Source organism: Homo sapiens, chromosome 1 (assembly GCF_000001405.40).
Source record: "Homo sapiens chromosome 1, GRCh38.p14 Primary Assembly".
Lineage (NCBI taxonomy): Eukaryota > Metazoa > Chordata > Mammalia > Primates > Hominidae > Homo > Homo sapiens.
Window position 1 is genome coordinate 240,088,877 of NC_000001.11, and position 22,408 is coordinate 240,111,284.

Sequence of the window (22,408 nt, forward strand, 5' to 3'; positions counted from 1 at the left end):
GTGCCCAGCCACGCATCTATTCTTGTAACCCACTTTCTTCTTCAACATTTGAGCATGAAAAGTTTCAAACAGTCCAGGTGTAGTAGCTTATGCCTATAATCCTAGCAATTTGGGAGGCAAAGGCAGGAGGATCTCCCGAGCCCAGGAGTTTAAGCCCAGCCTGGGCAACAAAGGGAAACCTCATCTCCACAAAACAAATTGAAAAATTGGCTGGGTATGGTGGTAAATGCCTGTAGTCCTGGCTATTCAGGAGGCTGAGGTGGGAGGATCACTTGAGCCCAGGAGCTCTAGGCTGCATGAGCTGTGATCATATTACAGCAGTCTGTGACAGAATGAGACCGTCTCAAAAAAAAGAGAAAGTTTCAAACATACAGTAAAGTTGAAGGCAGCTCCCAGTGAACACCCATATATCTACCATGTAAATTATATAATTAACATTTTATTATATTTGTTTTATCACATATCTGTCCATGCATCTGTTAAAGTATCTTATTTTTTGATGCAGTTTAGAATAAGTTGCCAAAATCAGTACACTTAAGCCAACTACATCAGCATACATATTCTCAGCTAGAGTTCAATATTTGTTTAGAGTTTTCTAACCTACTTTTACTAATTGAATTTTTAAAGCCCATATCCAATTTCCTTTGTGGGAAAATGGGTGGTACTTTATTTTATAAAAATAGTTTTTGTGACCATTTTGGAATGCTAACACTGAAGACTTTTATTGATAATTACACTAGAATTACTCTAGATACATCAATATAGAGGCTGGTCACTTTTGCTGTTTCTCGTCTGTGTCTTGCTACCAGGATGTGGCCAGGCGTGAGGTAATATCTCTAATTATCTGTTAAATCTAGTTTTGCAACCACAGATATGATATTCTTACCTGATCAAATGGAATTAAGGTTAGGCCATGTTTCAGGCATCCTTAGGAATACTAAATAGCTATTAAATAACAAGAACCCTTTGGCAAAGCTTTGTAGTTTGCCTTTATGATATCCTTACCGGTCCCCCAAGAGTAAACTATGCAGTGTTTTATGTTATAAAAAAATTGTGGTCTAAATTTGCAGGTTCCAGTATTCTTTCTGCTGCTATGTGATCTTGGACAAATCTCTTAGCCTCTCTGAGCCTGAGCTCATGCTTCAATTATCCTTGAGTTAAGAGCACCTATGTGTATTTGATACCCACACTTGTGAATTTCAAATGAGCCTTTGCATGCAATAGAGATTTGTCAGCTGTGACCTGCTGCACAACTGTCACTGTGAAAAAAAATCATCAATTCTTTCCCTCCCTCCTTCTTTCCCTTCTTTTGTCTTCTGAACGTCTAGAATATAGCACAGAAGAAAACAATAAGGAAATCAGTAGTTCAGAATCAAAGACGTTCTGCTAAAGAAAGAGCAAAAATCAAGATTCAAAGTACCTCAGCACTCAAAGAAGCAGAAAATTCTAATAGCTGCAGGCAAATTGTGCCCTCTGAGGAGCCTAGATTCTAGAAAAAAGGAGAGAGCAGTCTTGTGAAAGAGGTGAAACAAAGGCTTTTCATGTACTCCGGAATTGCTTGGAGACTGGGATATAACCCTGGCAAAGTTATTAAAGTTGATTTCTCTAAAGCATTTACTCGAAAGGGCCACCTAAGGATAACTGGCTAACTGCCCTTAAATTACATTTATTTTTAAAAACATAGTTTGAAAAAGGTTAGTAACCAAAGACTTACAAGACCAACCTTTTTTAAAAAAGAATTTTAAAGGCTGGTTCATAATATGCAAAGGAAGACTACACATTTGCTTGCTACATTTAAGTTGCACAGTATAATATATAGCTTTTCTCCCTCCTCTGGGTTATTTTGAAAATATTAATAAGTTGGATGTCTATTCCATATTTTCAAAGTGGTTATCAATGACTTTTACTTAAATACTTGTAAAACTTATTAATGCCACTTTAATCTCAGTTTACTGCTTAAAGCTTTAGATATCCATATTTTTTTAAAAAAACTATTCTTAAAAAATAGGTAACTAAATTTAATAAATAATGAAAACAATGACAAAATATTCAATGAGGAAAAATGTTTATCCCCATATTGTGGCCAGAACGTTAAGAAACTTTTACAGGACGAAGTCTGCCTGGAAGGGTTTGCTTGGGAAAGTGGTAGTTTATAGCATAACATCTGATTTTGTGTGTTTGTGCCAAGGGTGTTTCCTTTCTGTCTTTTTCCTTTTTATAGGCAGCCACAATAGTGACATGTTTAATATTGATGAGTTTGACCTCCTGGGAGTTATCGTATATGCACCCTTTTTGAATACAAATGCTGTTTAATTTATATGGTAAACACATAGAATTTGGAGACTAGCATTTTAATCAACACTAATCTCAGTATTTTCTACTTCTCCTACCTCTCCTTCTGTCAACAACAACAAAAAAATCACAAACCAATTTTATAAATGACAGCTAATGTCCTCTCCTGGAGAAGCAGGGTCTGTGTGTGAAACATAAAAGCAGCACCATGTGTAGTAACCTCTCCTAAACCATATGCTCAAGCACATTAACAGTGTTCAATTAGATGATCAATTATTCAAGAAACAGAACAATCCATTCATTCAACAAATATTTATTGAACAGCCATGCAGAGGCAGACAGGGGGTTGTGTATGTGGCTGTGACCCGATGGCACCTCTAAACTGGAATTGGGCTTCAGTTTTTCTCCGTGTAAAAATTTCTTCTTTTTTATTTAACTTTTCTCTTGGCAGGTCCAGCAGCTTTGAAGATCAGAGTGCATCTTCCAGCTGACGATCTCTTCGGTCGGGGACAATGCATTCGATTCGCACGGTGGAGATTAAAGTCCCCGAGATAGAGGAAACGTTTTTCGCGCCCAGGTTCAGCGAGGAGCCGCGCGGGGGCAGAGGGGGCGGCGGCGGCGGGCGGGGAGCCAGGCCCGAGCTGCGTTCTGCGCAGCCATTGGTGGGCGCCGCGCTCTGCACTGAGCATGTTCGCGCCCCGCCGGCCCCTAGCCGCAGCCGCAGCCGCAGCGACGGCAGCCACGGGAGCCGCCGCGCATTATGCAAAGCGGCGGCAGATGCGAGCGGGGCCAGCCGGGCGCGCGTCGGCCTCCCCTCCCAGCGGCTCCCCCCGCCGCCGCCTGACTCTCCCGGGAGACTCCCTAGGCCCGGACCTGGGGCCGAGGAGGGCCGGGATGGCCTGAGTGCCCGCGGCGCGGCGGCGCAGCAGCGGGATTGCACCATGGGGAACCAGGATGGGAAGCTGAAGAGGAGCGCAGGTGATGCTTTGCACGAAGGCGGCGGTGGCGCCGAGGATGCGCTGGGGCCCAGGGATGTGGAAGCCACAAAGAAGGGGAGCGGGGGCAAGAAGGCGCTAGGCAAGCACGGCAAGGGGGGAGGGGGCGGCGGCGGCGGCGGGGAGTCGGGCAAGAAGAAGAGCAAGTCCGACTCCAGAGCCTCGGTGTTTTCCAACCTGCGGATCAGGAAGAATCTGTCCAAGGGGAAAGGCGCCGGCGGCTCCCGCGAAGATGTACTGGATTCCCAGGCCCTGCAGACCGGGGAGCTGGACAGCGCTCACTCCCTGCTCACCAAGACTCCAGACCTCAGCCTCTCGGCGGACGAGGCCGGCCTGTCGGATACCGAGTGTGCGGACCCTTTTGAGGTGACCGGTCCAGGGGGTCCTGGGCCTGCCGAGGCTAGGGTCGGGGGCCGGCCGATCGCCGAGGATGTGGAAACTGCAGCAGGGGCGCAGGATGGACAAAGGACCAGCTCGGGCTCGGACACGGACATCTATAGCTTCCATTCGGCTACGGAGCAAGAGGATTTGCTTTCAGACATCCAGCAGGCGATCCGCCTGCAGCAGCAGCAGCAGCAGCAGCTCCAGCTCCAGCTCCAGCAACAGCAGCAGCAGCAGCAGCTCCAGGGCGCCGAGGAGCCTGCAGCGCCCCCCACTGCCGTCTCCCCTCAGCCCGGGGCCTTCCTGGGCCTGGACCGGTTCCTGCTGGGGCCGAGCGGCGGGGCTGGGGAGGCCCCGGGCAGTCCGGACACCGAGCAGGCGCTGTCCGCGCTCTCCGACCTGCCCGAGAGCCTGGCCGCCGAGCCCCGGGAGCCCCAGCAACCGCCGTCCCCCGGCGGCCTCCCGGTCTCCGAGGCGCCCAGTCTCCCGGCAGCGCAACCCGCGGCCAAAGACTCGCCCTCCTCCACGGCTTTCCCATTTCCCGAGGCCGGGCCGGGGGAGGAAGCGGCCGGAGCCCCCGTGCGAGGGGCTGGGGACACGGATGAGGAGGGTGAGGAGGATGCTTTTGAGGATGCGCCCCGGGGCTCTCCGGGGGAGGAGTGGGCCCCGGAGGTGGGAGAGGACGCCCCGCAGAGGCTGGGGGAAGAGCCGGAGGAGGAGGCGCAAGGACCTGACGCCCCCGCGGCCGCTTCCCTGCCCGGCAGCCCCGCGCCTAGCCAGCGCTGTTTCAAGCCCTACCCGCTCATCACCCCCTGCTACATCAAGACCACCACCCGGCAGCTCAGCTCGCCCAATCACTCCCCGTCTCAGTCCCCTAATCAGAGCCCCAGGATCAAGAGGCGGCCGGAACCCTCCCTGAGCCGAGGGTCCAGAACTGCCCTGGCCTCCGTAGCCGCCCCGGCCAAGAAGCACCGGGCCGACGGCGGCCTTGCGGCCGGCCTGAGCCGCTCGGCTGACTGGACGGAGGAGCTAGGCGCCCGCACGCCCCGGGTGGGAGGCTCCGCGCACCTGCTGGAGCGCGGGGTGGCGAGTGACAGCGGCGGTGGGGTGTCCCCAGCACTGGCCGCCAAGGCGTCTGGGGCCCCCGCGGCTGCGGATGGCTTCCAGAACGTGTTCACAGGTGAGCGCGCCCTGCTGCTGGCCTCCGGGTCTCAAGTCGCCTGTCAGTCAGGGCCTTCCCCTGCCACCCGCCCTCCCTGGGCTCTGGAAGGCGGTGACCTGGTAGTGGCACATCTCTTCTCCGTAGGGAATCCTTTTCCGCCCAGCGAGCTCACCCCCCACGGTGAAATGACTTGGACATACTTGTTGGTTTTCTGTGTTCTTACAAGATCTTAAAGGGAACAACTTAGTTGTGTCTGTCCTAAGTTGCTCTGCCCATTTCACCAAAATACCTGCTATTCACAAAGTTTCGGGTCACGCCAGGGAGATAAACTCCTTTTTCGTCTCGTTAGCTAAACCATCATTCTTCTCTTTCATTTTTCATCACCACAGCATTAAAAAGAAAAAAAATTGTTCATGGTTCTTTCGCAAGAGTCGGTTTTGGAGGCACAAATCATTTATTCCGGTACGATCCAAAGGCAGTCTCTGACCGCTCTCATAGCTGTGTGTATTTGTCCACGTTTGGTATGTATGTGATATGTAGTTTCTATCTTGCAGCAGTCTGGGTTCCGCTGCTTAGTGAAGTTAAGCGGTCACTCACTGCTGTTTGCTGCTGCAAGAAAATCCGATACATGCTATTAGAAAATTAATAAATAAATAGAATAGTAGGGATAATTTTCATTCAGTTTCATGGTCCAGCCCAGAACAGCCTGTAGTTTGGAGACAGTGAAGGTGGAAAGGTCAAAAGCACGTCTAGTCCAACTGGTACCTCCCCTCCCTAGCATATGTTATAGACTCATACCCAGGGCGGCATAAAGCACAGCCAGAGTATGTTTGCTCTGGTCAGTGTCAAGCAGTCCAATGAGTTTATCCTAGCTTACAGGCTTACAGGGCCCAAGGCCTTACCTTAAGAGCCCAACATGTTTACCTAACCTCTATTCTTAATTATTAAATGAAATAGAGTGTTAGAATTTAATGAATCGAAAAATATGAAAAGTTACATGACTACTGATAGGTTTATGATAAATATTTGAAGGATTAAACATTTCAAATGCAATCTGAAAATTTTAAAATCTTATGTTCTATTATTTTAATAAATACATTATCTGTAAAACATTGCTTAGATGAAATTTCTCGGCACAGACAGCGACTTCTTAGTTGACTAAATGCTGGTAATATTGGGGTAGCTACTTTTATTGACCACATTTTAATTTTCATCTGTGGGCCACCTTTTATTTTGCCCTTATAGGGTCTTACCCTTAAAAGTAGCTTCTTCCATTCATTTCACATACTCTTATTTTTCTTCTTTTCCACCTTCTCTTTATTGTGTAGATTGTTAAAAAGAATGTTTGTAGTTTTATACCCACTAGATAAATTGTAAAAAAACAAAAACAAAATGCAAAACAAATAAAAAAGAAAGATCACTTTTGATAGAAGAAGATTGGAAAGTTTTTGCATTAATTTTTGTGAATTTAATGTTGGTAAGAAATCACATATTTTCTCTTTATCTAAGTGACATTCACGTATATAGTTTTTGAAAAGTGAAAATAATTCACCATAATGATTATCAATCATTAATATTAATGATAGCTATTCCTACTAGCATAAGACTTTGGAAATTTATTTATTTCATTCATTTAGCAAATATATATATGTATATACATTTGTAAGCATATATGTGCATACACACACACACACACACACACACATTGAGCAGCCACATTGTGCTAGGCAGTATTCTAAATAGTAGCACACTGTGCTAGGCAGTATTCTAGATGTAGGTGATACATAGACCATTAAATCATGATTTTGCCTTTCTAAGGCTCGCTGACTAGTGAGGAGGAGACATGACATAAGTGCAGTGCACAGAAATATCTGTATAGATATAGACATGCAAATCACTGCTGGGAACATCACGGATGCAGTGGCTTATCTGCTTGGTGGCAAGGGGTGAGGGAAGAGGACTTGAGAGAGGAGGATTGAACAGAGTCCTGGAAGATCACAAGACCCTAAATAGGTTGAATGTTTGTTTTCCTTTAAAAAAACAAGTGTCTTCTTGGAACTTGCATTTTAGTTTAATTTGCTAAGTATTCCCAAATTTGAAATTTGGGACTCTTAAAAGAGTCCTGTATAGGAACCACCTGGGTTTTGTTGACCTCTCCAGGTGATTTGTTTTTTAAATTGTGCAAAGTAAAATTGCAGAGCTAGTCGTTTTTATAAGGACATCACCTATTTTGTATTTGATGGTTGGATACAGCTGGTTGGTAATCAGCAAATATATTTTTGTGTAGCAGCTTCCGTATGTTTATGTCATTCACTCAGCATTGTTCAGGAAAAGAGGATCAGTAGGTTTTACCTAACTTTGTAACTGGTGGGAAAATGTAGATAGAGAAAGAGGTGAAATAACTTTCTCAAGGTCACACTGTGATTCATTCAGAGGCAGATCCAGAAATAGAAACTGAGTCAATGAATCAAGTCTAATGTCATTATTATTTCTGTTTGGATATACAATGTTTTAAGGCCATATAGAGAGTAAAAACTGTTTATAAAAAATGTGATCAGATTTAGGGCCTTTCTTTAATTAGATTTTCCAGTTCCTGTTTTTAATAAGGTGTCCTCCTTTAATGGTTGAACATCTGGCCTTCCTTGAGCTGGATGAAGGGTGATTGTTGGCCAGAGTGAACCAGATTTTCTCTAAGCAGCTCTCATGGAAACTGTTCTTATGGTGGTCAAATGAATCCAGATTGACACAGGCCCTTGTGTCTCAGCTGTCAACTCTTCATGTCATCTGCCACTACGTTTGCTTCTTTACTCTCCTCTGCTATTTTTTTACGGGTGTCTTGGAAATTACCAGAGGCTTGGGGAACACTGGCATTGTCCTTAGGGAAATTTCTTTTTGGCCTTAATTTTGCATGTATTTGGATCAATTAATTGCCAGCTGCCTTTGAAGCAGGTGATCATTATATCTATAAGCTTCCATAAGCATCTTTTATTTTTAAACCATAGAATGAGGGTTGTCAGCATTACAGGAAGAAACAGATGTTTTTCGCTTTTTACCGCCTTCCAAATGTAGGGAGAAAATACAAGTGAAAAGGGATTTCTATGGCACATGTCTGTGTCTCTTTGGTAGATCTAAAAACATTTAGCAATGAGGGAGACCAAACTTTATCTTGTTTTAGCTATTAAGAAACTGATGATGCCTTAGGCCATTGCATTTAAGTATTTCATAATTAATGTGTTTGAAATACATCTTTTTCAGTGTTTAGTAGAAAAAATGGCGTCTGAAATTCGGGAGGTTCCTTTACATATTAAGTATAACAGAAGCTTGGTACTGGAGTTTTGCAGTTAATTAAAGTTTAGATATCCAACGTGTTAAATTTGTGATGCTAAATCGCTTTTGATAGGAATCTTTCCCAAGTCAATTATGTGCTTATCTTTTTTTTTAAACACATGGAATAAAAGTTTAATCTGTTTTAAAGGGCTTAATGTCATCTTCAGGCACATCATTGTTACATCTTATAAAAACATTAGTGATGTCCTCAACAGCTATTGAAGTGTGTGGGCTGTTGGCTTCAGTCTGTAGTTTCTGAGTTTTTGTGTCTGTGTAGTTTCTTGATTGTTTTCTTGCTGCCAGCTATTTATTGTTATAGCTGCCTTTTTTTTTTTTTTTTGAGACAGAGTCTCGCTCTGTTGCCCAGGCTGGAGTGCAGTGGCACGACTTCTGCTCACTGCAAGCTCCGCCTCCTGAGTTCACGCCATTCTCCTGCCTCAGCCTCCTGAGTAGCTGGGACTACAGGCGCCCACCACCATGCCCAGCTAATTTTTTGTATTTTTAGTACAGACGGGGTTTCACCGTGTTAGCCAGGATGGTCTTGATCTCCTGACCTCGTGATCCGCCCGCCTCGGCCGCCCAAAGTGCTGGGATTACAGGCGTGAGCCACCGCGCCCGGCTATAGCTGTCTTTAGTCTCTTTGCTCCTGTCCCTCAATTTTTTTGTAATTTGACTTTTCTGATCAATTTGCAATTGGCTTACAATTCCTGTAATTATGATATTGGTTACACTTATTGTACTTCTAAGTGCCAGACTCTGTTGGTGCATTACATAACTATCTGTAATCCTTAACAACAGTCTTGAGGTGTAGCTGTTTATCCTCATTTTTCGAATGAAAAAACCCAGGCTCAGACAGTAAAGTAACTTCTTGTCTAAGGGCATTAAGCTAGTAAGTGGCCCATCCAGGATATGTCCTTAGAAAACCAAATCTGTTGTTAATATGTATAAGATGAAACCAAGTAGATCATTGAGCTTTTGGAGGACTAGCTAATTAATAAAGTGCATAGGCTCTAGAACTTGGATTGTGCAACTCTGATTTTGGCCTTTCTAAAGGTTATCTTGAATTTTTTTTTTTTTTTTTTTTTGGAGACAGATTTCACTCTTGTCGCCAAGGCTGGAATGAAGTGGCGTGATCTTGGCTCACTGCAACCTCCGCCCACTGGGTTCAAGCAATTCTCCTGCCTCAGCTTCCAGAGTAGCTGGGATTATAGGCGCCCATGACCACACCCAGCTAATTTTTGTATTTTTAGTAGAGACAGGATTTCACCATGTAGGCCAGGCTGGTCTTGAACTCCTGACCTCAGGTGTTCTATCTGCCTTGGCCTCCCCAAGTGCTAGGAGGCCTATCTTGATTTTTATATCAGTAGAGGGAAGAACCCACTCTAGGAGTACACATTTTCTCATACGGCTTGGTAAATTGCTACATTGGATTTTTTTAAGGCCAGGAGTAGTTTGATTTCCAGCAGAGCCCCTGACAGAGTATAGATGTCCAGTTAATGTCTGACGAATGAAGGTCAGAATCTGCCTGATACGTATAAAATGTCTTATTATAAAAGGAAAGGGGTTTATATGAATGCTATGCTTTCCCCTAAATACTGCCTTACTGGGTTCCATATATCAGAGAAGAATTTGGCGATGTAAGCGGGGACCAGAACACTGATCTTCAATCATTTTAGATGGGTCTGAAACATCCTTTCTCATGGTTTCTTTAGGCCTGTGGTTTGGATTGAAGTCAAGTGCACCAGTAGCTTCAGGGATGGGTTTTAATGACTGCTTTATGAGTTGAGGATGGGCCTAGTTTTAAGAGCTTTAGGCGTTTGGATATAAGCCATGCGTATTTGAAATGGAGCAGGTACTTTTAGTGCTTTTCCTTCTGATTCTTCTGAAAAGATACAGAAAATATACAGTTGGATGAAGGTAGCAGTAGTTATTCTAACTACGTTTATTCTAGGTATATTTGCAATCCTAGTTTTGCTGTTTAGCTAAGTGAGTCTCCAGTAATTTTTCCTCATATCTATGAAGGTAGAAGAATAATTTCAAATTAATACTATTAAGATGAAATGAAATAGCATACATAAAGCCCCTACAATTCTGCCTGGTACATGAGAGGCACTTAACTGGGGCTATTTGCTCTCCTGACTGGATTTATTATCTTAAAAAAAAAGTCATTGTTCAAAGTGATCAGAGCCAAATTTGTTAAAACAACCCTGAAATTGTATACAAAACTTAGCAGGATATGAACTGACCAGATACTAGTTGAGCCCCAGTTTTGTTTTGTTTTGTTTTTTTTTGCAAATTGTTTATGTATTATTTTTTCTTTTTTTTTTCTGGAATTGTAAGCATTTTGTCACTTATCAGATATTCTGTGGTGGGGGGTTGGATAAGAAAAGCATATGATGGGGTGTGGCTGTAAGATTTGGGGGAGGGTGCTGCTTTCCAAAGAAGGGGTGGGAAGAGGAGGCGGTAGCTGACACCCTCAGTGTTTCTGCTCTGCACAGCATCTGGCTGCAAACCCCTGACTTTGCAGCTTTACCTTCCCACGGTCTCCTTCATAAATGCTCTACTTTACACTGTTTTATGAACATGCATTTCATTTTCCCGACTTTGTGCCTTTGTCTTGCAGCTTTACCCTCTTGGAATACATGATTCGTCTCTTTTGCTTTAGCATTTGAAAAGTGCTGATTGAATTCCGTTTCCTCTTTGTATCTTTTCCAGCCAGACCTTACTGGCTGTCATCTCACTTTCTCTGTACTTTACTGTCTAGATCATATTATATATGCTTCTTGGATTTAGGGATTCTTCTGGTCTTCTTTCTTGCCACCCTCTGCCTTTCCTTCCTCCTTGCCTGTTCACCCGATTCCATCCATCCATCATCTCCTCTCCTACTAATCTGTCCACAGATATCTCTTCCGTGCCTTGCTCTGTGCCTGTCAATATGTGTAAAGCACCGACTGTACTGAGGTCTTGATGAATACTTGCTCATTCACCATTTTTGGCAGTGATATAGACAAGTTGAGTATCCAGGCTTCCTACTGGCAATTAAAACTAGTTGAATTGAAGCTGGAAAATTGCTAACCTTTCTGGGCAGTCAAAATTAATTATTTTCAATGAGGTGTGATTGAATCAATGATACTTTATAGAACTTATGTTGATAGAAGAATAGCTATTCTTGTTTCTGCAGGTTAATGTTAAAATAGTAATGACATTACAGCAACTGACCTTCCAAATATAAATGTTATTGTAATGAAAGAAGAGGTAAAGGGAATAGAGAAAATTGTATTCCTCTGTTCATTCCTGTTTTGTATTCTAAGTACTAACCTAATGCTAATAAAAGTTAGCATTAAGGAACCATTAGGAAGAAACAAAAATGTACTGCCTGTGACTTGATAGTTATTAGATATCATTTTAGTGACAGTAGAAACTTTCTAAGGCTTTTTTATCTTAAAATATATGGAAAATATGACCTCAGTCAGTTCGGAATGGTAGTAAAGCAAGGTAGTCATAACATCAAAATTCTAAGAATGAGTAACAATTATTTCTGGATGCTATAATAAGATGCTAACCACACTAGAGATTTATTATCCTTTTGATACCTACTGCTCCACTATGGGTGAGAAGGAGGGAAGAATTTATGTCTTCTTCCTTTGTAAAGATGTACTTGGAAGTGTTGATTGGATAGGAAAATTACTGCCTCTATTCTGTGATCCAGTCAGGCTCCAACCTACCAGGAACCCACTGGAAGCTTTATTATCTGTTACCCTAGAGCTGCAATGGACTGAAAACAGTCCTATTGTTTTCAGGAGGAATGGAATACTTTCTTGAGAAAATCAAGCCTATATTATGTTTCAAAATTATGCTTAAAAAGGCTTAGGCACTACTCAGTTGAGTCTTTTTTTGTACTTCATGCAGAAGGGTTCTTTGTTGTAGTACCTGGTGATAGAGTGGACACATACAGGAAGAAATTCTGTGTCATTTAAATGGTTGTTTTAGGTACGCAGGAGGGGAAAGAATGTGTTTCAGTAAGCTAGTGTCAGCACTATGGGAAGAGTGCAGGCTGAGAACAATCTATTTCCCTTTTCCGTTTTACCACCAGCTTCCTATTAGGGCACAAGGCAATCATTTCTTGCCTCTTGTTAATACCCTGGCTTCCCAGATTGGAAGAGTGAATGCAATCTTGCTGGGAAGCGTCTTCCTTCAAGTCAATTTCAGCACTGTGGTTCTATAGATATGGTGATTCCAGCAGGTACCTTTTCTCCCTAATAGGGATGCTCTGTGTATTTAGAGCTTTCCTTTATTGGTAGAGCTGAAGAAAATTCCTATGCCGGAAGACCCGTTTATACCACGGAGTAATTGATGGTGAGAGTGGTGATGTTTTGACTTTGATAGTTTTGATCAATTTTTGATTCATGCTGAAGGAGATTTGCATTGGTTAGACTGTCATTATCTGACAATAGGACCGTGTGTGTGTGTGTGTATGTGTGTGTGTGCCTGTGTGTCTGTGTTGTGTGTGTGTGTGTTTGAGACAGGGTCATGCTCTGCCACCCAAGCGGGAGCGCAGTGGTGTGCTCATGGCTCACTGCAGCCTCAAACTCCTGGTCCCAAGCAATCCTCCCACCTCAGCACCTCAGCTTCCAGAATAGCTGGGACCACAGGCGTGAGCCACTATGCCTGGCTAATTTTTTTTTTTTTTTTTTGGAGAGACAGGGTCTCACTATGTTACCCAGGCTGGTCTCGATAGGGCCTTGTGTTTTTGAACACTGATATAATGATTATGTATGATGGTTGATCGTGTGTTATGAAAATGTATGAAATGGAAAGCTATGTTATATAATGTATGGCTCGAAGATTTAGAATATATGAAGGCTTTCTAATATTGGCACAAAATATACTGAGTCATTACTTTTAGTTTCATTATCTGCAATGTAAGTCATCTCTTGTTCTTGGATGGATTGTAGGCTTTGAATTTTTCATTATAGTTTAAACTGCTCAATAAAAGCAGTACTATTAATTCTCTTACTTCAATATACTTTAATATATTGGTTTTTGTTATGTTTTCAGTTTTTCCTACTATTGAATATGCTTACTGAAATACTTTTTATGAGTCTGTGGTATTCCATTTAGAAGTGTGCATTGATATTAAAAATTTCTTAGAAACTAGAAGGTTAAAAGGTGTTGAGAGGTCCTAGGTTTTTTACTTTAAAAAGAAAAAAGTTCCATTGGCCTTAAACAAGTACAGCTTGTTTGAGCCCATTAAGGACTAGAATAGAACTATTTCAGGATCCCAAATAAATGCATTTGAATACTCTGTGGAGAGTTTTGTAAGGATGCTCTTCATTATTGAGATACAAGGTTTATCTTTTAAAAGTATAATAAAAGAAATGAGGTAACAATAGGGATAATCTTTGAAACTCATTTTTTAACCTATATACTTGTAGATAATTGGCTTCTTTTTCTTATAGACCAATACTTGCCTGTTTGGAGAGGGTAAGTTATGTGAGCTCTCTGTGGGAAGTGTTACATTTTGCAGCTAACCAAAATGTTCTTCTATAAGCCAATTATATCTTCTGTCCTTTTGGTGCTATTTTGGTTAAATGGCTTTGGGGATATAAAATGTGTGGATGGTATCCTTGCAGTTTCTTTCAGGGTATAGGGATTGATCTGTCTCTGTTCAATTTTTAGAAAAATCCAGAAGTATGTTGACTCTGTTGGATTCAATATTTTGGGGATAGGCAGAGAGGGTTGTATAAGAACTGCAGTGATTTAAGTGGAGAAAGTGGAGAGACATTTGACTGGGCTGACAACGTGATATCAGTAAAAAGGTGATCCTTTAATTTTTTTTTTTTTTTTTTGAGACAGGGTCTCACTCTGTCACCCAGGCTGGAATACAGTGGCGCCATCTTGGCTTACTGCAACCTCTGCCTCCCAGGTTCAAGAGATTCTTTCACCTCAGCCTCCCGAGTAGCTGGGACTATAGGCACATGCCACCACACCCGGCCGATTTTTGCATTTTTTTGTAGAGACGGGGTTTCACCATGTTGGCCAGGTTGATCTCGAACTCCTGACCTCAGGTGACCCGCCTGTCTCGGCCTCCCAAAATGCTGGGATTTCAGGCATGAGCCACTGCTCCTGGCCAATGCCTTTAATAACTTGGATTATTTCTCTAAGGAGACTCATTTGACTCTAAATTCACAGATCATTTTCATATCATCTGCTTTTGGATAATAAAAGCTAGGCATGTGGCTTTAGCTTTAGCTTGAGGCTAAGCCCTTAAGGTTGAGCCCCTGATTTCCTTTTGTATGTGTGCTTTTGTCTTTGTCAGTTACCAATAGACTGCTAGAGTTGTGTCTGCAGTTTCTGTGTTTCTCTGGACCTCAGACATATCTCACTTAGACATCACAAGCCTAGGATATTCACCGTGTCTAAAACTATACTTACTATTTTACCCACCCTCTTAACACCCTCCTTCTGGGTTTCCCAAACAAGGCATTGCCGTCTAGCTTTGCCATATTCTTGGATTCCTCCATCCTTCTCATACTTCACACCCAGTTAATCTTTCCATTTTCTCTTTTCTTTTCCTAAGTATCTCTTTAAAATGTCTTCCAATTTCTGTTTCCATTATCTCTACCCTTCCTAGTTTAAATCCCTATCAACAGCCTCCTCAACATTCTTTTGTCCACAACCTGCGTTTCTCCACTCCATTCTGCATGAAGCAAGAGAGTAAATGACTTAACATACAAACTTGAATGGGTTCCGGTATAGAAACATGTCATTGGTCCCCTATCACCCTGAGGCTATTGAGTTTAAATTCTTTACTATGTACATATTAAATATATTAATATAGACATTATTATTATTTTTTTTTGTGACGGAGTCTTGCTCTATCCCCAGGCTGGAGTGCAGTGGTGCGATCTCGGCTCACTGCAAGCTCCGCCTCCCAGGTTCACGCCATTCTCCTGCCTCAGCCTCCCGAGTAGCTGGGACTACAGGCGCCCGCCACCTCGCCTGGCTAATCTTTTTTGTATTTTTAGTAGAGACGAGGTTTCACCGTGTTAGCCAGGATGGTCTCGATCTCCTGACCTCGTGATCCGCCCGCCTCAGCCTCCCAAAGAGCTGGGATTACAGGCGTGAGCCACCGTGCCCAGCCGACATTATGTTATATAGCATATATAAGCTATATATTATATATAATAGACATTATATATATTTTAATATGTATTAATATTTAATCTCTGTAGTTTTGTCACCTCATTGTTCAGGATCTACTATTCCTCACCTCGTCCTAAGTGCTTCAGTCATTTTTCAGATAGCTCATGCTCTCTCTGGTAATTTTAGGTATTATTAACACTTTTTCTTCCTGGTCCTCAGAGAAAAAAAGAATCCATGTAGTTGTATTCATGAGAATCCAGTCTGTGACACACTCGCATCATCAGTCCAGGCAAAACTCGTTTTGTCCTTATCATACTCCCTGCATTTTCACTTCCCATTCCGAAGCCTCTAGTAGACATACAGAACTGCTTTTATCTATTGCTCTCTTTGAATTAGTCTGCATTTTTCTAAAGTATATAGTATTTCTGTTTATGTTTGGTTTATACAAATACTCTGAGTTGCAGACCTCATTCTGTTTCTTAAAAAGAACAAAACAAAACTCAACCACCTTTGGAAAAAAATCTACGAACTTTTCTGGGTGAATTTCCACCTTGTTTTTTGCTTCCCACTGTTATATACTATTCCTAAGAATGAAAGTCCTGCTGGGTTGTTCAACACCAGGGTCACCATTCACCTTTTATTGTGTGTGAGTAATGTTCCCCTAGAGCTGTTCAATGTGGTGTCTCTGGGCACATTCCCTAGATTTTATTTAAACATGAGCATGGTGATAAACATCTAGATTCCTGTACTTCTCGGCCACCAGAGAAAACAGTCTGATGAATATTTCCATACAGGGAGCTATGGGAGAACTTCTCTGGGATATACATTTGGAAGTGGAATTGTCAGGTCATTAAATAAAAGGTTTTATTTGAGTAGGTACTGTCAGATTAGTTTCCAGAATGCTTTCCTAGTTTATGCTTCTTTTTTTTTTTTTTTTTTTTTTTTTTGAGACCGAGTCTCACTCTGTCGCCCAGGCTGGAGTGCCGTGGCGTGATCTCGGCTGACTACAGCCTCAACCTCCTGGGTTCAAGTGATCCTCCTACCTCAGCCTCCTGAGTAGCTGGGATTACAGGCGCCCACCACCATGCCCGGCTAATTTTTGTATCTTTGGTAGAGATTGGGTTTCACCATATTGGCCAGGCTGGTCTTGAACTCCTGGCCTCAAGTGATCCACTCACCTCGGCCTCCCAGAGTGTGGGAGTTACAGGTGTGAGCCACTGCACCCGGCCTCCATATAAATTTAGAATAAAATTAGAATAGGTTGTTGAGTTTCTTAAAAAATCCTGAAGTTGTTTGATTGAGATTTTAGTCAATTCATAGATTAAATTGAGGACTGTTTCCACTTTTGTAATATCATTTTATCTGAGAATGTGAAAGATCTCTTCATTTATTCAGATCATCTTTTATTCATTTTAATAGAGTTTAGACTTTTCTCCATAAAGAGTTTGTGTTTCCTTTGCTGAACTATTTCCTGATGCTTCATATATTTTATTACTAATGGGAATGGGATCTTACTTTAGTTTTATTTCTAGTTGATTATTGTTAAGGTAAAGAAATGTTTTCAGTATCTATCAGGTATAAATACTGTATGATTTCCTTTATGAACGTTATTTAAATGTAAAGTTTATTTAGTAAAATCTATAGCTTACAGTTATATGAGATTTTAAAGGTAGTGCTTTTTTTTACAGCAAATAATTGAAATATAATCATAGAACAGTATACATTGTGTAGATTCTTTTGGAATTATTGTGGCTTTCCTTTTAGCATTAAATATGGTAAGTTTTTGTGGATTTCCATACACTTTTTGGGGAGCCATATTCCTAAAACCCAGAAACATTATTAACGTTTTAATTTAGTACGTTGTGTCTTACATTGAACATTAATAAAAATCTCACTAATTATTTAAAATACTTCAAAAGCATAATTTAAACAACTCTATAGTATTTTATCCAATCAGAACACCATTCATCCCCGAGTATCCATTGCATACTTTTTCTTAGATTGCCTTCTGCCTTTTGGGATGCCTTTTAGACACCTTCATATGATCTTCTTCCACCTATAACTCTTCCTAATTAAATGATGCTTTCTCCCCAGGCTTCATATGTAGTCTGTGTTAACATCCACCCTGAGTAGTCTATGAAACATCCAACATTTCCCTGCATGTTGATAAATCATATTTCTAGCTCAGATCTCTCTTGTGAATTTCAGGTGCCAATTTCATATTGTCTTTTAAACATCTTTATATAGATACGGGAATAGTTTCAAACTGAACTCATCTTTTCTCCAAACCCAACCTGCTCCCTTATGTATTATTGGATTCCTGGTAGATAATACCATCTAACAAAGCTCTTTACCCAGTTTCTTAAGCCAGAAATTTGGAAGTGCAAGTTAGCCAAGCTATGCCACTCTTCCTCCTCCTTATATTTAATTAGTCTCTACATCCTGTTAAAATATACCTCCAAAAATATGTTTTTAAATACTCATCCCCTCCTTTCCAGGAGGATTTTTTTTTCTTTTTTTTTGAGACAGAGTTTTTGCTCTTGTTGCTAGGCTGGAGTGCAATGGCGCGATCTTGCTCACTGCAACCTCCGCCTCCTGGGTTCAAGCAATTCTCCTGCCTCAGCCTTCCAAGTAGCTAGGATTTCAGGCGCCCACCACCACGCCCAGCTAATTTTTGTGTTTTTAGTAGAGACGAGGTTTCACCATGTTGGCCAGGCTGGTCTCTAACTCCTGACCTAAGGTGATCTGCCCGCCTCAGCCTCCCAAAGTGCCGGTTTTACAGGCATGAGCCACCATGCCCGGCCTTTTCCAGGAGGATTTTTAATGCCACTCTCCAAATTTTCCAGTAGCTTTCCATTGACTGTAGGAACACAATTGAAACCTCAGATTTATATTCAAGCAGAAGACTGAATGTGTTCAGGATGAAGGAGCTAGATGTGATAGCAGTTTGTATGATTCAAGTCAGCATAAGGGAAGCCATCCCTTACAGAATGTCCAGTGTTGGCATGCGTGGTCTTGAGAAGAGCAATTTCATCATCACTGGAGATGTTAAAATAGAGACTGAGTGAAGATCAAATGGGGTGGTCGTAGCCCTGGAGAGGCTGAATTTGACCACTGATATTCTTTCCAGCTCGGAGAGTCAATGATGTATGACTTGAAAAGTAAGAGCAGCAGCTGTGGTCTGTGTGACTCATTCCTTTTATTTGAGACTGCTTTAAATATTTATTTAAAACTCTTCAACCAAGTGATTTTAGAAGCTGCCATTTATTAGAGTCACTTTTATGGATTTAACTTAATAGATACAACAATTAAATTAAAAAAACATTTTTCTTTTGTCTTTCTATAGTTTTTCCCTTTTAATCTTGATTTATTTCATGACCTTTTAAAAAAATACCAGGAAATTCATAACCTGTCATAGGTCCTGAAAAGTGGTTGGTAGTTATCATCATATGTGTTCTATGATATTCTTTTTTCAACTTCATTAGATTTATTAGATTAAATTTCTCTATTTATTTTTGTCATTTTCAGCCTTTGGTAAATTGAAGTTGGATAGTGTCTTTTTCTCTCTTCCCCAGGAAAAAAAATCCCTTGATGCTAGTCAAATTGAACTTTATATAAATTTTAATAGACATGTAGTACCGAGAACTCTCTATAACAAAGTCACTTTTTGAATACTCTCAGTATGATGTTTTTGCTATAATTGATGTGGAACACATCTTTTAATACCCTTCTCAATATCCCTAGTGTCAAGTAACATAAATGCATCAAACGTGCACCTCAGTTCACCACAGAGAACAGTCAACTTCTTCAAAACAATTATGAAGACACATTGTAGGCACTTGTTCTTGAAGACTAAGAGGATCTTCCTGTAAGAGTGTCTAAATCAAAGGTGTACCTGGATTCAGTGAATTTTGATTCCTCCAGGGGTAGTAGAGTTTCACTCTGCTTTATGTTGGTCCAAATCCCTTTATTAGCCATGGTCATCTTTGCAGATGAGGGCAGGGAGTTCATCATCCTTGTGTGTTTTGTGACTTGTTTTCCTTAATGGTTTGTCTAGCTATTGGATTTCACGTTTGTTTTCTTTCTTTGAGACAACCCTAGATATTTATCCTTGTAGCAGTCTTCTTTTTACTATAAAACCTGCAGCATTTTGGACCTAAAACTAGACATGGTAATTTCTATTTGATCATAAATGGCCCTCCTTATTTTTTTTCTTATTTGGCAAGTATAAGCCGTTAGTATGTGAGATACAGAATATGTGATATCTCTGTATTCAGTGACATCATAAACTTAAGCAATTATCATTAATGTCTTATAATAGATTTGCTTGTCAACATCCTTATTTCCTCCTAATATTTCAATTGATAGATAACATGGGATATCAGGGAAGTTTATTAGATAGTTATGTCTGAGCTATAAGGTCAGAGAAAAATTTAACGTGACAAGACATCTGTTTTAATTCTCATTTTGCATAAGATATAGTGGCCTGGAAGAAACAGAAACCTGTGTTGACACCTTTTAAAATACAGCAACTGTCTTGTTCATCCTTCTACCATTAAAAAATGCACAGAAGGGGCCTGGTGCAGTGACTTACACCTGTAATCCCAGCACTTTGGGAGGCCGAGGCAGATGGATCATCTGAGGTCAGGAGTTCAAGATCAGCCTGGCCAACATGGTGAAACCCTGTCTCTACTACCAATACAAAAATTAGCCTGGCGTGGTGGCGAGAGCCTGTAATCCCAGCTACTCAGGAGGCTGAGGCAGGAGAATCACTTGAACCCAGGAGATGGAGGTTGCAGTGAGCCGAGATCCTGCCATTGCACTCCAGCCTGGGCAACAGAGCGAGACTCTGTCTCAAAAACACCCCAAAAAACCCAAAAAACCCACATGCACACAAGGAAAAAATATCAGTGACATATTTGTAGGCTATTAAAATATAAGTTTCAAACAGATGATTAAAATTGAATGCTATCATAGGACATAAAACTCAGTACAAAACTTACACTTAGCCCTCTCATGTATATAACCTTAGACATATGACTCAAGTATTTGGGCCTTGATTTCTTTACAGTGGAATTAGTGGTTTGAACGAAATGATCTCTAAGATTTCTTCTGGCTCTAACATACTGAAGATGAACATACTGAAGTGGATTGTCACTGAGTCACTTGATCGTCCTCATGACAATGATTAGTCTTTGGAATGAGTAAAACCAGAAAGGTTACATGCACCATCAAGGGTATTGGGAGAAGAGCATCTCCTACTGTCTGTCATCAAAGCTTCTATTCCTGTTTGGACACTTTCTTGTCTCAGTAAAATGGGAGACTCTCCCTGCTCTATGTTGAACTCACTGAACCTATGTACACCCTTCATTTAGATACTCTTGCAGGAAGATCCTCTCAGTCTTCAAGAAAAAGTGCCTACAGTGTGTCTTTAATATTGTTTTGAAGAAGTTGGCTGTTCTCTGTGGTGAACTGAGACGCACATTTGATGCATTCGTATTACTTGACACTAGAAATATTGAGAAGGGTATTAAAAGATGTGTTCCACATCAATTATAGCAAATACATCATCCTGAGACACTGACTCTCCCTGCGGTATGTTGTCAGCAGTTAGCAACCAGCCTGTACTCTGCATCTCTTCTACAAGAGTATGCCAGCTACATCATCTTATTGTATTATTATTACTATTATTATTATTAGTTAAGGGCAGGGAGCATGTTTTCTTCAGCTTGTCTTCCTCTAGTAGGCCTAGGACATTCTTTGGGATATGACGGACTCCTAAGTGCTTGGTTATATCTTATCTTTGCTCCTCCCCAACCTCCCAGTTCCACTAAGGATGTTTAATTAAGGCAGTGTGTTCTACACAGACTGCTTTTAAAATGTTCCTTCTTGGGCTTTGGTTGTTGTAAGTAGGTTGTTAGCCCCTGCAGGGCACAGACCGCATGGTCTGTTTCTTTTATATCCGAATGCAGAAAGTTGGTCAGAAGCTTTTCCCAGAGTTGCTGGCTGAGTCAGAAGTAGAAGATCCCTGGAATAAAAATGAGGAGAGCAGAGTGTGCCTCCAGTTTTGGCACTGCCACTTTCTAATCTTATGACTTCGGGCAGACTCTAGAACCTTTTCATTCCTCAGTTTCTTTGAAGTTGTGATGATAAATCCTGCTCTGCCTACTTCACAGAGCTGACAGTAGATGCAGAAATGCCTTTTACATTGTATAGCCCTGTTCAAATAAAATACTTTTTACTTTTTATAGTGTCAATGGTCACAGGCCCAATAAAACCCTAGTGCAAGGAGAGTTGATTTTACTTCTTCATTGTGCAAGAGGATTGCAACATTTGTTCTGATGGTGAATAAAAACTTACCCCCTAACTGCGGTGTCCATGTTTATCTAGGCTTGTGAGTTTTGCTTCTCAAGGTAAGAGGAGTATTTATAGCTAGTGTATGACTGCAAAGCTGATTCTACAAGCTTCACTTTTGATTAGCTACAGTGTGGAAGAATATGTGGGAAGAGCGTGAGGGGATTAGTACAGCAATAATTGGAGAACATTAATGATTAATAAGTCCCCGACTCTCATTTAATGAATATTATTTTTGATGTGAATTTAATAAATATAGTAAAACAAATATGCAAGCCCTTTTTTTTAAAAAAAATTGAGGCTAGGAATTCTAGCAAGCAGTGTCTTAAATATTACCTTGTTGTTAAAATCTACTAAATTTAAGGAAAAAAACCCAAAACTTGGTGGATGAAGATATTTGAATCTGTGATTACCTTGCCTATTACCGTACTATTTCAAATGCTTTTAGATCCAACTTATGATTTCCTTCTTTTAAGTTGAACCAACATTTTTAATCACATTTACAAGTAGAGAGTATTTGAAGTATATCTTGATCATAATAATAACAGGTAACATTTATTGGGTACTGTTAAGCCTGTTACAAAAATTGTTTCATTTAATTTTCACAGTAATCCTCGGAGGTAATGAGGATGATTATTTCCAATTTCTAGATGAGGAAACAGGATTACCAGGGGTTATGTAACCTGTCTAAGGCCATACCTAGCATAATGGAGGCATCAGTGTTATCGGAAAGGGGTCCCAATCCAGACCC

At 41.3% G+C, this 22,408-nt stretch overlaps 1 protein-coding gene across 7 annotated transcripts in view; it reads left to right on the plus strand.

Moving 5' to 3' along the window:
• The window catches only part of FMN2 (formin 2), a 383,305-nt gene continuing 363,903 nt past the window's right edge, over positions 3,007–22,408 (plus strand). For all 7 annotated transcript variants that reach the window (NM_001305424.2, NM_020066.5, NM_001348094.2 and 4 more), the window contains exon 1: positions 3,007–4,848. In NM_001305424.2, coding sequence (NP_001292353.1) covers positions 3,234–4,848 — 1,615 coding nt within the window. In that variant the 5' untranslated portion in view covers positions 3,007–3,233. The remainder of the gene's footprint in view (positions 4,849–22,408) is intronic.